This window comes from Homo sapiens, chromosome 1, assembly GCF_000001405.40.
Source record: "Homo sapiens chromosome 1, GRCh38.p14 Primary Assembly".
In the NCBI taxonomy this organism is placed as follows: domain Eukaryota; kingdom Metazoa; phylum Chordata; class Mammalia; order Primates; family Hominidae; genus Homo; species Homo sapiens.
In genome coordinates, this window is record NC_000001.11 from 212886058 (window position 1) to 212904519 (window position 18462).

An 18462-nucleotide genomic window follows, 5' to 3' on the forward strand; every position below is an offset into this window, starting at 1 on the left:
TTTAGGTGGGGTCTCACTCTGTCACCCAGGCTGGAGTGCAGTGGCACCATCTTGGCTCACTGCAACTTCTGCTTTCCAGGCTCAAGTGATTCTCCCACCTCAGCCTCCTGAGTAGCTGTGACCACAGGTGTGCGCCACCACACCCGGCTAATTTTTTGACTTTTTGATAGAGACAGTGTTTCACCATGTTGCCCAGGCTGATTTTGAACTCCTGAGGTCAGGCAATCTGCCCACCTCAGCCTCCCAAAGTGCTGGGATTACAGGCATGAGCCACTGCACCTGGCCTATGTTGTTCTTTTTTTATGTTGTGGGCTTAAATACAAAAACAAAAAAGTAGTTCTTTCCAATCAAAAAATTATTGTTGAGCATAAGGCTTTATTTTGGTAAGAACTTTTTGGCTAAAGTACGCCCAGACTACAGTACCACTTAACTGTAATATAATGCATAATGTGAAAATGCTGGTTTGACACAATGTCTTATGCCTGTAATCCCAGCATTTTGGGAGGCCAAGGCGGGTAGATTGCTTGAGGCCAGGAGTTCGAGACCAGCTTGGGCAACATGGTGAAACGCCATCTCTACTGAAAATACAAAAAATAGTCAAGTGTGGTGGTGGGCACCTGTAATCCCAGCTACTCAGGAGGCTAAGGAAGGAGAATTGCTTGAACCCAGGAGGCAGAGGTTGCAGCGAGCTGAGATAGCGTGCCACTGGTCTCCAGCCTGGGTGACAGAGCAAGACGCTGTCTAAAAAAATAAAAAAAAAAGAATATACTCTGTTAATTGTACATTATATGGAACCACCAAAAGGCTAATACCAAAGAAAATGAATGATACCAACTGGGAGACTAAGAAAGGGGTTTCAGAGGCAGCATATTTTGCTCTGGGAGTGAAAAGAATCACCACATTTTGTAACATGCCAAAACTTACCCCTGTACTTGGAAATGAATGAATGAAACTATTAAGGAATAAATGAATGAAATATGGAACTGTGTCCCGTGTACCTTTCAAGGCTCAAGATATATTTGATATTATTAGTCTAAACGCTACCAAAAGTATCTCTAATCTTGAAATTCTCCATATTCTTCCATAATTTAAGACAGCACTTGCCTTAGCTTCATTATTTTAAAATGATAGCTTAGAGTGAAACCTACTTGATATATAGATGAAGGGAGCATATGTAAAGGATTATATTTCTTAAGTCTTTCATCCGTTATACATTTAGAAAACTTGATAGGCATAGATGTGTGTTCTTTGCCACTGTGGCTTCCTTCTCAGGGTAACTGCCATTCATTCACCAAACTCCTGTTGTGTGCATCTTTCTTAGATGAAAATTATGGCTGGCATTATGTGATCCCTGTTCTTAAGATGTTTGTGGTCTAAATGGAGCAAATAAGGCATTCACATGTGAAAAGTTAAATAATATAACAAACTAAAATAGATGTCATAAGTTTTATAGTGCCAGTATGATAAGGGAATTTGGAAGAAAGAGAGACTCTTATAAACTGGTGTCGTTACAGAAGGCATTTGGAAGAGGTAGAATTTGATCTGAATCTTGAAATGTGAATAGGGAACTATCCCATTTGGTGGCATAAAAATGATTTTATTCCTATAAAAGGATCCTATCTGAGCATTCGATATGGTGTGGTTTTCTGGTGCTGCTGAATCTTAAATTAAAAATGCTTTAAAATTTGTGCTTTGGTGGATACATATTTCCATGGACAAGAAGGGGTGAACTTTGAAAAACAAAGATTCATTACTGAACAGGTAAGAGTGATGATTTTTGTATTCCTAGGAGAATCAGACAAAATACTAACAGCTTTGTTGTTTTTGTTTTAGACAGACTACTCTGATAGTTTATATTTTGTCTTTTATTGGAATGGTTATCTTTACTTTCACATTGGACCTTAGATATATTATCATCGTGTTTGTTACTGGAGGGGTGCTTGGGTAAGTATCAGATGTGTTTAGGAGGAATGATAGCATGCTGTTATAATTCTGAAGTATTATTACTCTGGTCTTTAATTTTTTCAGTTCATCCAAAGTTTCTTCAATATTTTAAACTTTAAAGGATTCATTCTATGCATATAAACATGTAATTCTTAAGAACTATTAAAAATTATTTAAAATTGGTTTTTGGTATACCATAGGTAAAAAATGGATGAGCCTTACTTAATCTGTGTAACTTTATTTGGTTACAATCAACTTATAAAACTAGAAGTAAATTTTTCTCAGAAAAAAATGTGTATTTGTTGCTTCCAGTTCTGTAACCTTGAGCTGATTGGTCAATGATAATAGTTCCTTACTTTGACATAGCAACTTCAAAATATTCACTTATTTGGTCATTAGAATAAGCCCGAGAGGCAGAATGATTGCATCAGTATGTGATTGTGACTTTCTGGTAGTTCTTTCTGTAATTCTGGATTTATTTTCCTAGCTTCTTCATGACTGGTTACCTCCCTTTGGGTTTTGAATTTGCTGTTGAAATCACTTACCCTGAATCTGAAGGTACTTCATCTGGTCTTCTTAATGCTTCTGCACAGGTAAACCTCTGATTTCTCTAAACCTGAGATGATTATTATACCAGATATTCTAGTGAGTAATGAGTTTGACCATGGTTTTATTTGTTGTTGTTGTTGTTTTGTTTTTTGGAGACAGAGTCTTGCTCAGCCATCCAAGCTGGAGTGCAGTAGTGCAGTCATGGCTAACTATAGCCTCAAACTCCTAGGCTCAAGCAATCCTCCCCCCTCTGCCTCCAGAGTTTTTGGGACTGCAGGTGCACACCAGCATGCCCAGCTAAATTTTTTTTGTTATTTTTTGTAGAGATGGTGTTTTGCCATGTTGTCCAGGCTGGTCTCGGACTCCTGGGCTCAAGCAATTCGCCTACCTCAACTCCCAAAGTGCTAGGATTACAGTGGGTGTGAGCCACTGCACCCAGCCTGACCGTGGTTTTTGTTTTAACAATTCAACTTTTCAATGAATGTTTCTAGAAACCAAATCATATAACCAAAATAAGAAAAGTTCTGGTGAAAACTTTATACTTGCTTTAAATAATTTAACTTAATAACGAATGATTTTTCTTATTGTATTTTAGATATTTGGAATTTTGTTCACATTGGCTCAAGGAAAGCTCACATCAGACTATGGTCCTAAGGCAGGGAACATTTTTCTCTGTGTCTGGATGTTTATAGGCATCATATTAACAGGTAAATTAGGGCGTTTGCCTGGCAAAAGGACTTGTGTCATGTGTTAATTTTCATATATATTGCTTCTCAATAGCTTGACAGAACTCAAGGGGAAAAAAATGAGATAAAAAGCAGGACATTATTTGTTTTCTTCTAAAGACATGAATCTCTTACTTCATTTTGCAGATTTCAAATTCAATACAGTTACTCTGCATAGCAAGCAAAACTGTTATAATAAGAGTAGTAAAGGCTGGGTGTGTTGGCTCATGCCTGTAATCCCAGCACTTTGGGAGGCAGAGGCGGGCAGATTACTTGAGGTGAGGAGTTTGAGACCAGCCTAGCCAACATGGCGAAACCCCGTCTCTACTAAAATTAGCCAGTTGTGGTGGCGCACACGTGTAGCCCCAGCTACTTGGGAGGCTGAGGCAGGAAAATTGCTTGAACCCAGGAGACAGAGGTTGCAGTGAGCCAAGATCACACGAGTGCACTCTAGCTTGGGCAACAGCGAGACTCTGTCTCAAAAAAAAAAAAAAAAAAGAGTAGTAAAGACCTGGAGTTGGGAAGACCTGGCCTCAAATTCCGATTCTGTTGCTCAGTGGGAGTGTGACTTTAGACCCGTTGCTTAACCTCTCAAATCCTCCTTTCCTTATTTATATAATAGAGTGTTAAAGCCTGCTTTATAGGGTTACTGTGAGGATTAATTGAAATGGTTCATGAAAAGTTCCTAGTGTCTGGCACCTGGGACGTGCCTAACATGTGTTACTATTGTTATAATGTGGTAGAGATGGTAAGCAGTCAAGTGGTAGTGGTGGAAATAGTATGTGGAATCCTTAGCTAGTGCTTATACTTCTTAGGTATAGTCATCATAGACATGGGCAGGAAAGAAAATAGTGCTCAATCTCCAGAGAAAGAGAATGTCAGAGAATTTTTATCCATAGTTTGCCCATGCACATGGGTGTACAATAGATTTGGAAGCAGAACTTTTTCCAGGTGCATACTTTTAAAATGTCATCATTCCCTAAACATTATAGTATAACAGCTATTTACATTGTATTAGGTATTAGTAATCTAGAGATGGTTTAAGTACATAGGAGGATGTGTGTACGTTATATGTAAATACTTCCCAGGGGCGTCCAATCTTTTGGCTTCTCTGGACCACATTGGAACAAGAAATATCTTGGGCCACACATGAAATACTCTAATACTAATGATAGCTAATGAGCTAAAAAAAAAAAATTGCAAAAAATCTCATAATGTTTTTTAAAAATTTGTGAGTTTGTGTTAGGCCACATTCAAAACTGTCCTGGGCCACATATGGGCTGCAGACCACAGGTTGAACAAGCTTATACTACACCATTTCATATAAAGGCCTTGAGCATTCGTGGATTTTGGTATCTGAGGTGGGGTCTTGGAATCAATCCCCCGCAGATACCAAGGGAGGTTGTGCTTCGTTGATCTGGTTATAACTTAGTTGGAGGATCTGGTTATAACTTAGTTGGAGAATCTATCAGAAGGATGTGAATCAGAATTTCTTCTACTGTTTGTGGAATACCTGATCATTCTTTGTGAAACCTTCAATATGAAATCTCACCAGTGATAGACATTTTGGATATACACAACTACCTAAGGTCGCTCACTCAATTGTATGAATGATAGGAACCTGAGCATTCATTCACGAAGCTAAAAGAAAGTGAATGCACTCTGTTTCCTCAAAGAAAAACATCTTATCACAGGGAGTTTTTCCCCCTGTCCAGTTAGTAAAATAAAACATACAAAACTGTGAAATATGTAATACATTAACTGCTTTAACTATTGTTCTTTCATAAGTAATTCCATGTTGGTTCTTAATTCCTAGGCAAGTACTATATCTTATCTAAGATTATTACTATTGGCTGGACGTGGTGGCTCATACTTGTATTCCTAGCACTTTGGGAGGCTGATACAGGTGGATCATTTGATGTCAGGAGTTCAAGACCAGCCTGACCAACATAGTGAAACCGTGTCTCTACTAAAAATACAAAAAACTTTAGCCAGTTTTATGGGCACACACCTGTAATCTCAGCTACTTGGGAGGCTGAGGCAGAAGAATTGCTTGAATCTGGGAGGCTGAGGCAGAAGAATTGCTTGAATCCGGGAGGCGGAGGTTGCAGTGAGTGGTGAAGATCACACCACCACTCCAGCCTGGGTGACAAAGTGAGACTCCGTCTCAAAAAAAAAAACAGTATTATTGTTATACCAAAGAAGGGAGCAGTTTTGTAATCCTCCTTCAAATTACTTTTACAAGAGATTCATGAATACTAATTCAAACAAATCAAGTCTAGAAAATTAAGAAGTGAAAATAGATCTTTAAAATTAGTTTTACATTGATGCTTTTACCATCTCAAATGGTATTCCCTGAGGCACAACAATATTGAAATCAGGGCCCTGATTAATACCCCCAAATTATTACCCCTACAGTGGCCTCCAGGTGTTTAAGCAAAAGGAAGAGTAGTAAATCTCTCCTCTTAAATCAGAAGCTAAAAATGATTAAGCTTAGTGAACAAGTCATGTCAAAAGCCCAGATAGGCCAAAAGCTAGTCCTTTTGCACCAAACAATTAGCCAAGTTGCTAATGCAAAGGAAAAATTCTTAAGGGAAATTAAGAATGCTACTCCAGTGAACACAAATGATAAAACAGCCTATTGATATGGAGAAAGTTTGAGTGGTCTTGTTAGAAGATCATACCAGCCACAACATCGCCGTAAGCCAAAGCCTAATCTAGAGCAAGGCCCTAACTGTCCAATTCTGTGAACGTTGAAAGAGGTGAGAAAGTTGCGGAAGAAAAGCTGGAAACTAGCAGAGGTCAGTTCATGAGGTAAGGAAAGAAGTTGTCTTCATAACATAAAAGTGCAAGGTGAAGCAGCAAGTGCTGATGTAGATGCTGAAGTAGGTTATCCAGAAGATCTAGCTAAGATGATTGATGAAGGTGGCTACAATAAACCACAAATTTTCCATGTAGATGAAACAGGCTTATACTGGAAGAAGATGCCATCTAGGACTGCCATAGCTAGAGAGGAGGAATCAATGTCTGGCTTCAAAGGACAAGCTCATTCTCTTGTGAGGGGTTGATGCAGCTGGTGACTTCACATTGAAACTAATGCTTGTTGACCATTCTGAAAATCCTAGGGCCCTTAAGAATTAGGCCAAATTTTCTCTGCCTAAGCTCTAACAATGGAACAATGAACCTGAACCCCGTAGTTGATAGTACATCTGTTAGTAGCATGGTTTGCTGAATATTTTAAACCCATTGTTGAAGCCTGCTACTGAGAAAAACATTCCTTTCAAAATACTACTGCTCATTGACCAATTCACCTGTTTACCCAAGAGCTCTGATGAAGATGTACGAGGAGATCAATGTTGCTTTCATGTCTGGAAACACAGCATCCCTTCTGCAGCCCGTGGATCAAGGAGTAATTTCAACTTTCAAGTCTTATTCTTTAAGAAATACACTTCAAAAGGCTGTAGCTGCCAGAAATAATTATTCCTCTCTTGGATCTGAGCAAAGTAAATTGAGAACTTTCTGGAAAGGATGCACCATCCTAGATGCCATTAAGAACATTCTTGATTCATGGGAGGAGGTCAAACTATCAACATTAACAGGAGTTTGGAGGAAGTTAATTCCCATTCTCATGGATGATTTTGAGGTGTTCAAGACTTCAGTGGAGGAAATAGCTGCAGATGTGGTGGGAATAACAAGAGAACTGGAATTAGAAGTGGAATATGAAGAGGTAACTGAATTGCTGCATCTTATGGTAAAACCTGAAGAAATGAAGGGTTGCTTCTTTTTTTTTGGGGGGGGGTGCCGGAATGTTGCTGTGTTGCCCAGGCTGGAGTGCAGTGGCGTGATCTCGGCTCACAGCAAGCTCTGCCTCCCGGGTTCAGGCCATTCTCCTGCCTCAGCCTCCTGAGTAGCTGGGACTACAGGTGCCCGCCACCACGCCCGGCTAATTTTTTGTATTTTTTGTAGAGACGGGGTTTCACCATGTTAGCCAGGATGGTTTTGATTTCCTGACCTTGTGATCTGCCTGCCTCGGCCTCCCAAAGTGCTGGGATTACAGGTGTCAGCCACTGCGCCTGGCTGGGTTGCTTCTTATGGATAAGCAAAGAAAGTGTTTTCTTGAGTTGGAATCTACTAGTAAAGATGCTGTAAATGTTGAAATGACAACAAAGGATTTAGAATATTATATAAACTTAGCTGATGAAGCAGTGGCAGGGTTTGAGAGGATCAACTCCTGTTTTGAGGAAGTTTTGTGGGTAAAATGTTATCAAACAAGTATTGCACACAGAGAGATCTTTCATGAAAGGAAGAGTTGATTAATACGGCAAACTTCGTCACTGTCTTACTTTAAGAAATTGCCACAGCCGCTCCCACCTTTTAGCAACCACCACCCTGATCTGTCAGCAGCCATCAACATCAAGGCAAGACCCTCCACCAGCAAAAAGATAACTTGCAGAAGGCTTGGATAATCATTAGCATTTTTTAGCAGTAAAGTGTTTTTTGTTTTGTTTTGTTTTTTTGAGATGGAGTTTCGCTCTTGTTGCCCAGGCTGGAGTGGAATGGCGCCATCTGGGCTCACTGCAACCTCTGCCTCCTGGGTTCAAGTGATTCTCCTGCCTCAGCCTCCTGAGTAGCTGGGATTACAGATGCCCACCACCACAACCAGCTAATTTTTGTATTTTAGTAGAGATGGGGGTTTCACTATGTTGGCTAGGCTGGTCTCGAACTCCTGACCTCAAGTGATCCACCCGCCTCGGCCTCTCAAAGTGCTAGGATTACAGGCATGAGCCACTGAGCCTGGCCAGTAAAGTGTTTTTAAATTAAGGCATGTAGATTGATTTTTTTTTTTAGACATAATGCTATTGCAAACTTTAAATAGACTACAGTATAGTATAAACATAACTTTTTATGCACTGGAAAACCAAAAAATATGTGCAGTGGTGCGATCTCTGCTCACTGCAACCTCCACCTCCCAGGTTCAAGTGATTCTTCTGTCTCAGCCTCCCTAGTAGTTGGGACTACAGGTGCGTGCCGCCACGCCTGGCTAATTTTTTGTGTTTTTAGTAGAGATGGAGTTTCACCGTGTTGGCCGGGATGGTCTCGATCTTCTGACCTTGTGATCCACCCACCTCGGCCTCCCAAAGTGCTGGGATTACAGGCATGACCCACCACGCCCAGCAATATTCACTCTTTTGTGGTGATCTGGAGCTGAACCCACAATGTCTCTGAGATATACCTGCATTCCCTTCTGCCTAGAATGCCTTCCTCTCCTCTTGTCTGCTTGACAAGTTATTACTCAGTTTTTTCCAGTATCAAGTATGTCTTCTCTGGAAAGCCTTCTCTAATTTCCTTTGGCTGACATAGACTTTTTTTGCTCCCACTTCCCCACCATACCTTGCAATTATCACACACTGTTATACTTGTTTACATGTCAAAGTTTCCCTAGATTGGAGAGTCCTTTAAGAAAAAGAATTACACTTTTCATTTTTGTATCATTGGTTGCTAGCATTCCCGTATTTGTTCAATAATGAATGACTTATTAATTGTTAACAACTTTAGAGAGGTACTATTATTTTTTAGGCTGTTGGGATGCTATTAAATATCATGACACTACAGTGCATTAAATTTGACAATACCAAGAAAGACTTTGAGCTGCTTTTTAAAAAAATCTTCACATAACAGTTTATAGTAACTTGATGCCCCTCTGTTTCAGCATTAATCAAGTCTGATCTGCGAAGACACAACATAAATATAGGAATTACAAATGTTGATGTTAAAGCTGTAAGTAATATTTTTATGATTATACTGTTGAGAAGTATGTATAGAATAAATGTGAAACCATATTTTTTTATTTAGCTATTTTTCTCCCGAGTCAACTGTTGATCTGTTATAATAGGATATGCCAGATGCTATACATTTTTAATCTTCTGATTGTTTTTATAGATACCAGCTGACAGTCCCACAGACCAAGAACCAAAAACGGTTATGTTGTCCAAGCAGTCAGAATCAGCAATTTGAAGAGAAAGGCAAAGTTACTGTCCTGTAGTAATTGGGGACAATGTGATCATCCTTGGAGAGAGATGTGAGCACCAAGGCTGGGTTTGTATGTGGTGGGGGAATAAACACACTTACTTGAAAATTACCATATGAACTCTAAATGCATAATTATTATTTTGCTTAATTGTTAAATTAAGGGAAATTTTCTTAAAATTCTTCTGTTTACATCATGTTAACACTACTGTTTATCTAATTAGTATCCGGTTTTTAGTCTCATATTGTATCTGAAAGTAAGCTTCTTGACGTTTACTTTTTAAAAGTCGATGTTTTTCTTTTTTGTAGAAAATGGAAGCTTAGAATACTTTTTAAAGTGATAATATGGGGTGTTCAGTCCCCATAAGATATAATAGTTCATGCAGTTTATATATTAAAGTATCCAGTGGAACTAAATGTACAATATATTCCTAATTGGCTGCCTTTTTCACTGTGCTGACCAGCTGTTCAAGCCACTTCAGTTTGAGTACAACATACCAACATGACACTACTCACCCACAAAGGACAGCATTGGGATCAGGCTTTCAGATGACCTCTAAGATTTTTCCCATTTATTGTACTCTTGTTACAAAGTACTTTTTAACACATGCAGTCAATGGCTATAAAAACTATTCTGTGTACAGATTCTACCCAGACTTTGGTCTTAGAATTATGTTCTAATTAAGGAGCCTGGTTACAGGTTCATTCTGTCTTGAGTTCTTTTCTGTGCTGCCTTTCTATCATGGATAAATGCTAACGCTGTATTTTTTCACTCCAACTTGAGATAGAGTAGTTTTGTACCCATTGCCTTTTTTTTCTTTTAAACTCTCTTTTTTTTTTTTTCCTGATGTGTAACTTTCTAGTAAGATAATTTCATCATGTATGTTACTGGCTATTTCATGATTTCATGTATCACATCGTATATTTTGCCTTGAAGATTCCTGAAATAAGGAAATCTATAATAACTTCAGATAGCCTACATGTCCCCATTTAGTGGAGACCTCTTGAATGCTATTTGAATTCTGCAGTATCATTTTTATGACCATTCTCCTTTGAGGAATACTATGCCCAGGTACATGCTCTATCAGTGTGCCGGGAGAGTGGATTCTTTTCTTCACTGCAGAGTCATCACACTGTTAGAATAGTCTGCTCTTTTACATGCTCAGGTAGGGAAAATAGGACCAAATATATTTCCACAGTGCCTACCACTGTGTCATGTTTACAGTGAGAGTTTAAATATTGTTGATGTCCTGACTCTGTGAGCTCATAGGGAGTATCTTCATAGTAATGACATTTGATCAGCCATAAAATTTACATTATGTTCATATGCACCCAAAAAAGCTAGTCAGGTAATGAATACCCTTGAAGTGAATAGCAATTTTGATTTAGGCAGTGTGTTAGGCCATCCTTGCATTGCTATAAAGAAATATTTAGGCTGGGCGTGGTGGCTCACGCCTGTAATCCCAGCACTTTGGGAGGCTGAAGCGTGTGGATCACCTGAGGTCAGGAGTTCAAGACCAGCCTGGCCAACATGGTAAAACCCCATCTCTACTAAAAAAAAAAAAAAAAAAAAAAAAAAAAAAAAAGGCCAGGCGCAGTGCTGTGGCTCATGCCTGTAATCTCAGCACTTTGGGAGGCCAAGGCAGGTGGATCACAAAGTCAGGAGTTCAAAACCAGCCTGGCCAAGATGGTGAAACCCCATCTCTACTAAAAATACAAAAATTAGCGCAGTGGCAGGCGCCTGTAATCCCAGCTACTCAGGAGGCTGAGGCAGGAGAATCGCTTGAATGCGAATGGCAGAGGTTGCAGTGAGCGAAAATCACACTACTGCACTCCAGCCTGGGAGATAAAGTGAGACTGTCTCAAATAAATAAATAAATAAATAAATAAATAAATAAATAAATAAATAAAACCTGAGGTTGAGCACGATGGCTCACACCTATAGTCCCAGCACTTTGGGAGGCTGAGGTGGGTGGATCATTTGAGGCCAGGAGTTGAAGACCAGTCTGGCCAACATGGCAAAACCCCATCTCTACTAAAAATACATACACACACACACACACACACAAATTAGCCGGGCATGGTGGCACACGCCTGTAGTCCCAGCTTCTTGGGAAGCTGAGGCATGAGAATTGCCTGAACCTGGAAGGCGGAGGCTACAGTGAGCTGAGATTGCGCCACTGCACTCCAGCCTGGGTGACAGAGCGAGACTCTGTTTCAGGAAAAAAAGAACAGAAATACCTGAGACTGGGTAATTTATAAATAAAAGAGGTTTAAGTGGCTCACAGTTCTGCAGGCTGTGTAAGCATGGCACCAGTGTCTGCTCGGCTTCTGGGGAGCCCTCAGGGAGCTTTACTCATGGTGAAAGGCTAAGTGGGAGCAGAGATGTCACATGGCGAAGCAGGAGCAAGAGAGCAGGGAGGTGCCACACACCTTCAAACAACCAGATTTTGTGAAAACTCACTCATTACTGCAAGGACAGCACCAAGCCATGAGGGATCCACCCGCAGGACCCAAACACCTTCTATTAGGGCCAACCTTCAACATTGGGGATTACATTTCAATGTGAGATTGGAGGGACAAGTATCCCAACTATATCAGGCAGAATATATGCATTGATATATATTGAAATTATAACATTCTCTATAATCAAGTGACTGTAAATTATGTCGAATCTGACCCTGGGGAATGTGTTATCTAAAGAATTTGACTAAGAATCAGGAACTCTGTGTCCATGTCCTGGATGTATTTCTGTATGTTCCTATAACTCTGGACAAATCATTAAACCTCTCTGGGCAGCGTTTTCCTCATCCATGAAATGAATGTGTTCAATTTGATCTCAAAGATCTTTCCAAAATATTAAATGCCATTAATCATGGAATAGACCAAATTATTGTATCACAGGAACTTGAATCCAGCCAGAGAAAAATTCCCTGGACAATTGGATAAACAAATGTGATTGCTACCTTATGGATACAACGGACTTTTACATTTCTTTTTAGCCTTTTTAGTCAGTTGAGGGTAACTCAAGCAGAGTATGTCCAATCATTAGCTTCCTTTGATATTTACATTACAGGTAAAAACGGCCAAAAATATATTTTAAGGTCTCTCCCCAAATGTTTTTATTTTTAAACTATCAATGTTGTTTAAAATAATCATGTACTTGTTGAGTTCCTGAGGTTTGGAACAAATTACACATAAAATTTAGAATACTTTATTTCTGAAAAGCATATACATATATGTTATGTTTATTTTTCCTTGTTGATTAGAAAGGTGATGGAATATGTGACAATGCAAAATGAATTGATAATTTTTCTGTATTTTGAGTGAAAGTTGTCTGTAATATGTCAAGCAAGAATGTTATAATTCTACAGTAATGTGTGACTTCATGACAGAGCTACATTCTGAGAAATTTGTCATTAGGTGATTTCATCATTGTGTGAACATCATGAAGTGTACTTACACAAACCTAGGTGGTAGAGCCTACTGCACACCTGGGCTAGATGGCAAAGTCTGTCGCTTCTGGGCTACAGACCTGTACAGCATGGTACTGTATTGAATACTGTAGGCAACTGTAACACAATGGTATCTGTGTAATCTAAACATAGAACAGATAATACATTGTGCTACAATGTAACAATGGCTGTGGCATCACTAGGTGATAGGAATTTTTCAGTTCCATTATAATCTTATAGGATCTCTGTCATATGTGGTCAATTGTTGATCGAAACATGACTGTATGTCGTATTTTCAGAAAATGGAATAGGTAATCATCACTTGTGTGAATTTTAATCAAATGACTTAGGAAAGAAACTGGATGTTTCAAAAGCTGTTGCATTTATTACAAATGTCACAAATACAGCTCTTGCCTTTTGAGAATGTTGGAGAGATGTCTTTAAAAAATATGTTTGTGTGTAAAAATGTGTCTGTATGCAATAGCTAGAAAAATGCCTGTGTCTTAAGTCATTACTCATGTTCTAATTTTTGTTCTTTGTACTATTTATCTGTATGCTTGTTCTTCAGTATTTCAGACTCAAAATAAATTTATTTTTTTATGTTAATTTTCTGTGACTTTTTGAAAAATTCTGATGCTTAGGTACACATGGGGAGTTTAAAGGGATTATAAAATTTCAGAATGGGCAAAGAGGGAATGAGGTAGTGCATGGAACATAAAATGAGGAAACAAAGTCTACCAGGGTCAGGGCTAAAATAGATACTAAAATATTTTATTCCTTTAAAAGTAACTTTAGAGAGTGATGTTAGCAAGATGGCAGAATAGGAGCTTTATATCATCATTCTTCCACAGAAGCATTGATTTTTACCAGTACTTTCAGATGGTAGTTCTTTTGTAGGAATCCAGAAGTCCTACGTGGAAGTTCCAGCACACCATTGGAGCAGAAATATCTGAGAATAAATGCATTAAAGAAAAGGAAGAAGAAGATTTTCACTTTATCTGCATCACTCTTTGAAGTTGGCACAGCTTAGTGGCAAGAGAGACTCCCCTCAGTCCACAATTTCTCCCATGGGAGAAGGTGATAGCATAGTGAGAGTGCTCAGCCCCTAGCTGTGTGGGATGCTGCCTAAGAACCCTACCTCTTTCTTGCTCCAATTAAAATATTGAGGTGACTGTCATAGCTAAGCGTTGGGAAAGGCTGGGAGCAGGGAAGAAAGGCTCTGAAACCTACTCAGCACTCCACAGACTCCATCAGGAAGCCTCACCAGCCACTGGGATACCTTGCATATGGACCTCCCACATGACCCATGGCCACCCCAAATTCTCTGTGCACCTCACCCCCATCTCCCTGAGGCTGGCTTCCCAAGCATGCCACATTGGATGGCAACTGCAAGCATCAAATATAGAGACAGATGGCTTGATTGTGGAATTGAAGCAAGGTACACAAACTTGAGTACTTCAGGACACCACCCCAGGGGAAACAAACAGGAAGCTGTCAGCACCTGGCCTGGCTTTGTGGGATTGAGATAAGGCATATAACTTTTAAGAATCCCCTGCTGCAAGTGGGAACAGGGGTTGTGGAGCAGGTGAATCCACAGGAAAGGTAGGAGAGAGCCTCAGAATTCCTAGCCAGGCAGATTGATGAAGGCATTTCTCTCCTGAAGCTAGTCAATAAAGACTGGAGGAAGTGATTTTCTTCAAATGCAAGGATGGAAATGGAAGACTTCAAGAAAACAAAAAATGGAAACATGATATCACCTAAGGAGCACAATAATATTACAGTAACAAATCCAAAGAAATTGAGATATATGAATTGCTTGACAATAAATTTAAATTGTTTTAAGAAAATTCAGTGAGCTACAAGAGAACAGATATACAACTCTATGAAATCAGAAAAACAATGCATGAACAAAATGGAAGTTCAGCAAAGAGAAATCATAAAAAAATTCTGCTGCTGAAGAATACAATCAGAAAGGAAAAAAGCAGTAGTCAACAGCAGATTTGATCAAGCAGAAGAAAGAATCTGAATTCCAAGACAGGTCATTTGAAAATATGCAGCCAGAGGAGAGAAAAAGAATGAAAAGATTAAAGAGAGCTTATGAGATTTATGGAACAACATTAAGAGCTAACAGTTGCTTTATGGAAATAATAAAGGAGAAGAGAAAGAAGGAGCAGAAAGCTTATTTAATAAAGCATGGCTGAAAGCTTCTCAAATGTGGGAGAGACACAGACATTAAGGTATATGTCGCTCAAAGTTCTGCAATCTGGTTCAACCCAAAGAAGACTTTGCCAAGACACATTACACTGAAACAGTCAAAAGTAAAAGAATTAAACTTTTTTCCTTTTTTTTTTTTCTCTTTTTTGAGACAGAGTCTCACTCTTGTCTCCCAGGCTGGGGTGCAGTGGCATGATCTTAGCTCACTGTAACCACCTCCTCCTAGGCCCAAGCGATTTTCATGCCTCAGCCTCCCAAGTAGCTGGGATTACAGGCATGCACCACCATGGCTGGCTATTTTTTTTTTTTTTTTGTATTTTTAGTAGAGATAAGGTTTCACTACGTTGGCCAGGCTGGTCTCAAACTCCTGGCCTCAAGTGATCCACCTGCCTTGGCCTCTCAAAGTGCTGGTATTACAGGTATGAGCCACTGTGCCCAGCCAAAAATCAAAGAGAATTTTTAAAGCAGCACAAGGAAAAAGAAGCTTATCACATACAAGGGAGACCCCATAGGCTATCAGATTTCTCAGCAGAAACCTTGCAGGCCAAGAAGAGTAGGATGATATATTCAAAATGCTGAAATTTAAAAAAGAAAAATAAACTGCTAACCAAGAATACTTTACCTGATAAATCTGTCCTTCAGAAAAGGAAAGATTAACTTTCCCAGACAAATAAAAACTGAGGGAGTTAAATCACCACCAGACCTACCTTGCGAGAAATGCTAAGTGGAGTTCTTCAAGCTGAAACAAAAGTATGCTAATTTTAATGCTAATATGAAAACATAAAAAGGTATAAAACTCACTGGTAAAGATACGTATATAGTCAAAATCAGAATATTCTAATACTGCAGTGGTTATGTGTAAATCATTTTAACTCGTGTATAGGCTAAAATAAAAATATTAAAAATAACTAGCTTTGGTAATTCATTAATTGATACACAATATAAAAGGATGAATATTGTGACAGCAAAAGCATAAAATGGCGTATAAAAGTGTAGAGTTTTTGTGTGTGAACAAAGTTAAGTTGCTATCAGCTTAAAATAGACAATAAGATGTTTTATGTAAGCCTGTTTTAACCACAAAGCAGAAACCCGTAGTAGACACACACAGATAAAGAGAAAGGGATCTAAGTATACTACTAAGGAAAATCATCTAATCACAAAAGACAGCAAGAGAGGAAGAAAAGGACAAAGGATCTTTAAAACCGCCAGAAAACAACAAAATGCCTGTAAGTTCTTACCTGTCAATAATTACTTTAAATGTAAATGGGTTAAATTATCCAATCATAGACATAGATTGGCTAAATGGATTTAAAAACCAAACTGTATGCTGCTTACCAGAGTCACTTTAGCTTTAAAGATATACATAGGCCGTAAAGGGATGGAAAGAGAGAATCCATACAAATGGAAACAGAAATAGAGCAGGGTAGCTTTATTTATTTATTTATTTTTGAGACAGAGTCTCACTCCACCCAGGCTGGAGTGTAGTGGCATGATCTCAGCTCACTGCAACCTCCACCTCCTGGGTTCTTGTGATTCTCATGCTTCATCCTCCCAAGTAGTGGGGATTACAGGTGTGCACCACCACACCCATCTAATTTTTGTATTTTTAGGAAATGGAGTTTCACTGTGTTGGCCAGGCTGGTCCTGAATGCCTGACCTCAGGTGATCTGCCTGCCTTGGCCTCCCAAATGTTGGGATTACAGTTGTGAGCCACTGCACCTGGCCAGGGTAGCTATATTTAAATCAGACAAAATGGACTTTAAGTAAAAACTTTGGCCAGGCATGGTGGCTCACGCCTGTAATCCCAGCACTTTGGGAGGCCAAGGCAGGTGGGTTACCTGAGGTCAGGAGTTCGAGACCAGCCTGACCAATATGGTGAAACCCCATCTCTACTAAAAATACAAAAATTAGCTGGGCGTGGTGGCAGACGCCTGTAATCCCAGTTACTCAGGAGGCTGAGGCAGGAGAATCGCTTGAGCCTGGGAAACAGAGGTTGCAGTGAGCTGAGATCGTGCAACTGCACTCCAGCCTGGCCAACAGAGTGAGACTCTTGTCAAAAAACAAACAAAAAAAACACCTAAAAAACTTTAACAAGGGACAAAGAAGACTATTATATAATGATAATGGAGTCAATTTTTTTTTTTTTTTTTTTTGAGACAGAGTCTCGCTCTGTCGCCAGGCTGGAGTGCAGTGGTGTGATCTCGGCTCACTGCAACCTCCGCCTCCCAGGTTCAAGCAATTCCCCCTGCCTCAGCCTCCCAAGTAGCCAGTACTATAGGCCTGCACCACCATGGCCAGCTAATTTTTTGTATTTTAGTAGAGACGGGGTTTCACCACATTGGCCAGGATGGTCTCGATCTCCTGACCTCATGATCCGCCCACCTTGGCCTCCCAAAGTGCTGGGATTACAGACATGAGCCACTGTGCCTGGCCTTAATGGGGTCAATTATTTAAGAGGATCCAACAAGTTGTGTGTGCATGTGTGTGTGTGTGCCAACAGTGGACTACCTAAAATTATGCAAAGCAAATATTAACAGATCTGAAAGGAGAAATAGCAGTAGAATTAATAGGGGATTTCAGTACCCCACTTGCAACAATTGATAGAACATCCAGCCAAAATCAATAAGGAAACATTGGATTTGAATTACACCTTAGACCACATGGACTTAATGGACATATATTGAATATTCCATCCAATAGCAACAGAGTACACATTTTCCTCAAGTACACATGGAACATTCTCCAGGATGGGTCATATGTTAGGCCCAAAAGAATGTCTTTAAAATACATTTAAATAAGAAATACAATTGAAATAATCATATATTCCTTAAGACATAATATCATATTAAGCAACTTCTCTGATGCTTACAATGATAGGAAATTACACAATTACATATTATTTCACAATGATATGAAATTACCCACCAATAGAAAGAAAACTGGAAAATTCAAAAATATGTAGAAATTAAACAACAGATTCTGAACAACTAGTGAGTCGAAGAAATCAAACAGGAAATCAAAAAATATTTTGGGACAAATGAAAATAGAAATACTTTCTATTTCCATTACCATATCAAAACTGATGGAATGCAGCAAAAACAGTTCAAGGAGGGAAATTATAACAATAAATGGCCACATGAAGAAATATCTTAAATAAATCACCTAACTTTACACCTGAAGGAACTAGACAAAGAAGAACAAATTAAGCCCAAAATTAGTAGAAGGAAGTAAATGACAAAGATGAGAACAGAAATAAATGAAATATAGACTAGAAAAATAATAGAAAAGATCAGTGAAACTAGGAGTTGTATTTTTTGAAAAGAAAAACAAAATTGATGAACCTTAGAGTAAGAAAAAGAGAAGTCTCAAATGAAATTGTAAATGAAAGAGGAGATATTACAACTGATACCACAGAAATACAAAGAATCATGAGACTATTATGAACAATTGTACTTCAACAAACTGGATAACCTAGAAATTGATAAATTTCTATAAACATACAACCTACCAAGACTGAGTCATGAAGAGATAGAAAATCTGAGTATACC

At 39.0% G+C, this 18462-nt stretch overlaps 1 protein-coding gene across 3 annotated transcripts in view; it reads left to right on the forward strand.

The window, feature by feature from the left end:
- FLVCR1 (FLVCR choline and heme transporter 1) overlaps window positions 1-13306 on the forward strand; it is a 41089-nt gene extending 27783 nt beyond the window's left edge. Inside the window, exons 6-11 of one of the 3 annotated variants that reach the window (XR_247024.4) lie at window positions 1834-1944; window positions 2432-2537; window positions 3089-3200; window positions 8929-8996; window positions 9159-9297; window positions 9555-13306. Coding sequence is in view for 1 of the 3 variants with exons in the window: in NM_014053.4 (NP_054772.1) it covers window positions 1834-1944; window positions 2432-2537; window positions 3089-3200; window positions 8929-8996; window positions 9159-9233 (472 nt within the window). In the remaining 2 variants the exon portion in view is untranslated. Of the gene's footprint in view, window positions 1-1833; window positions 1945-2431; window positions 2538-3088; window positions 3201-8928; window positions 8997-9158 lie in introns of all 3 variants that reach the window. The other 2 variants (XR_007059232.1, NM_014053.4) reach the window with 2 other exon arrangements.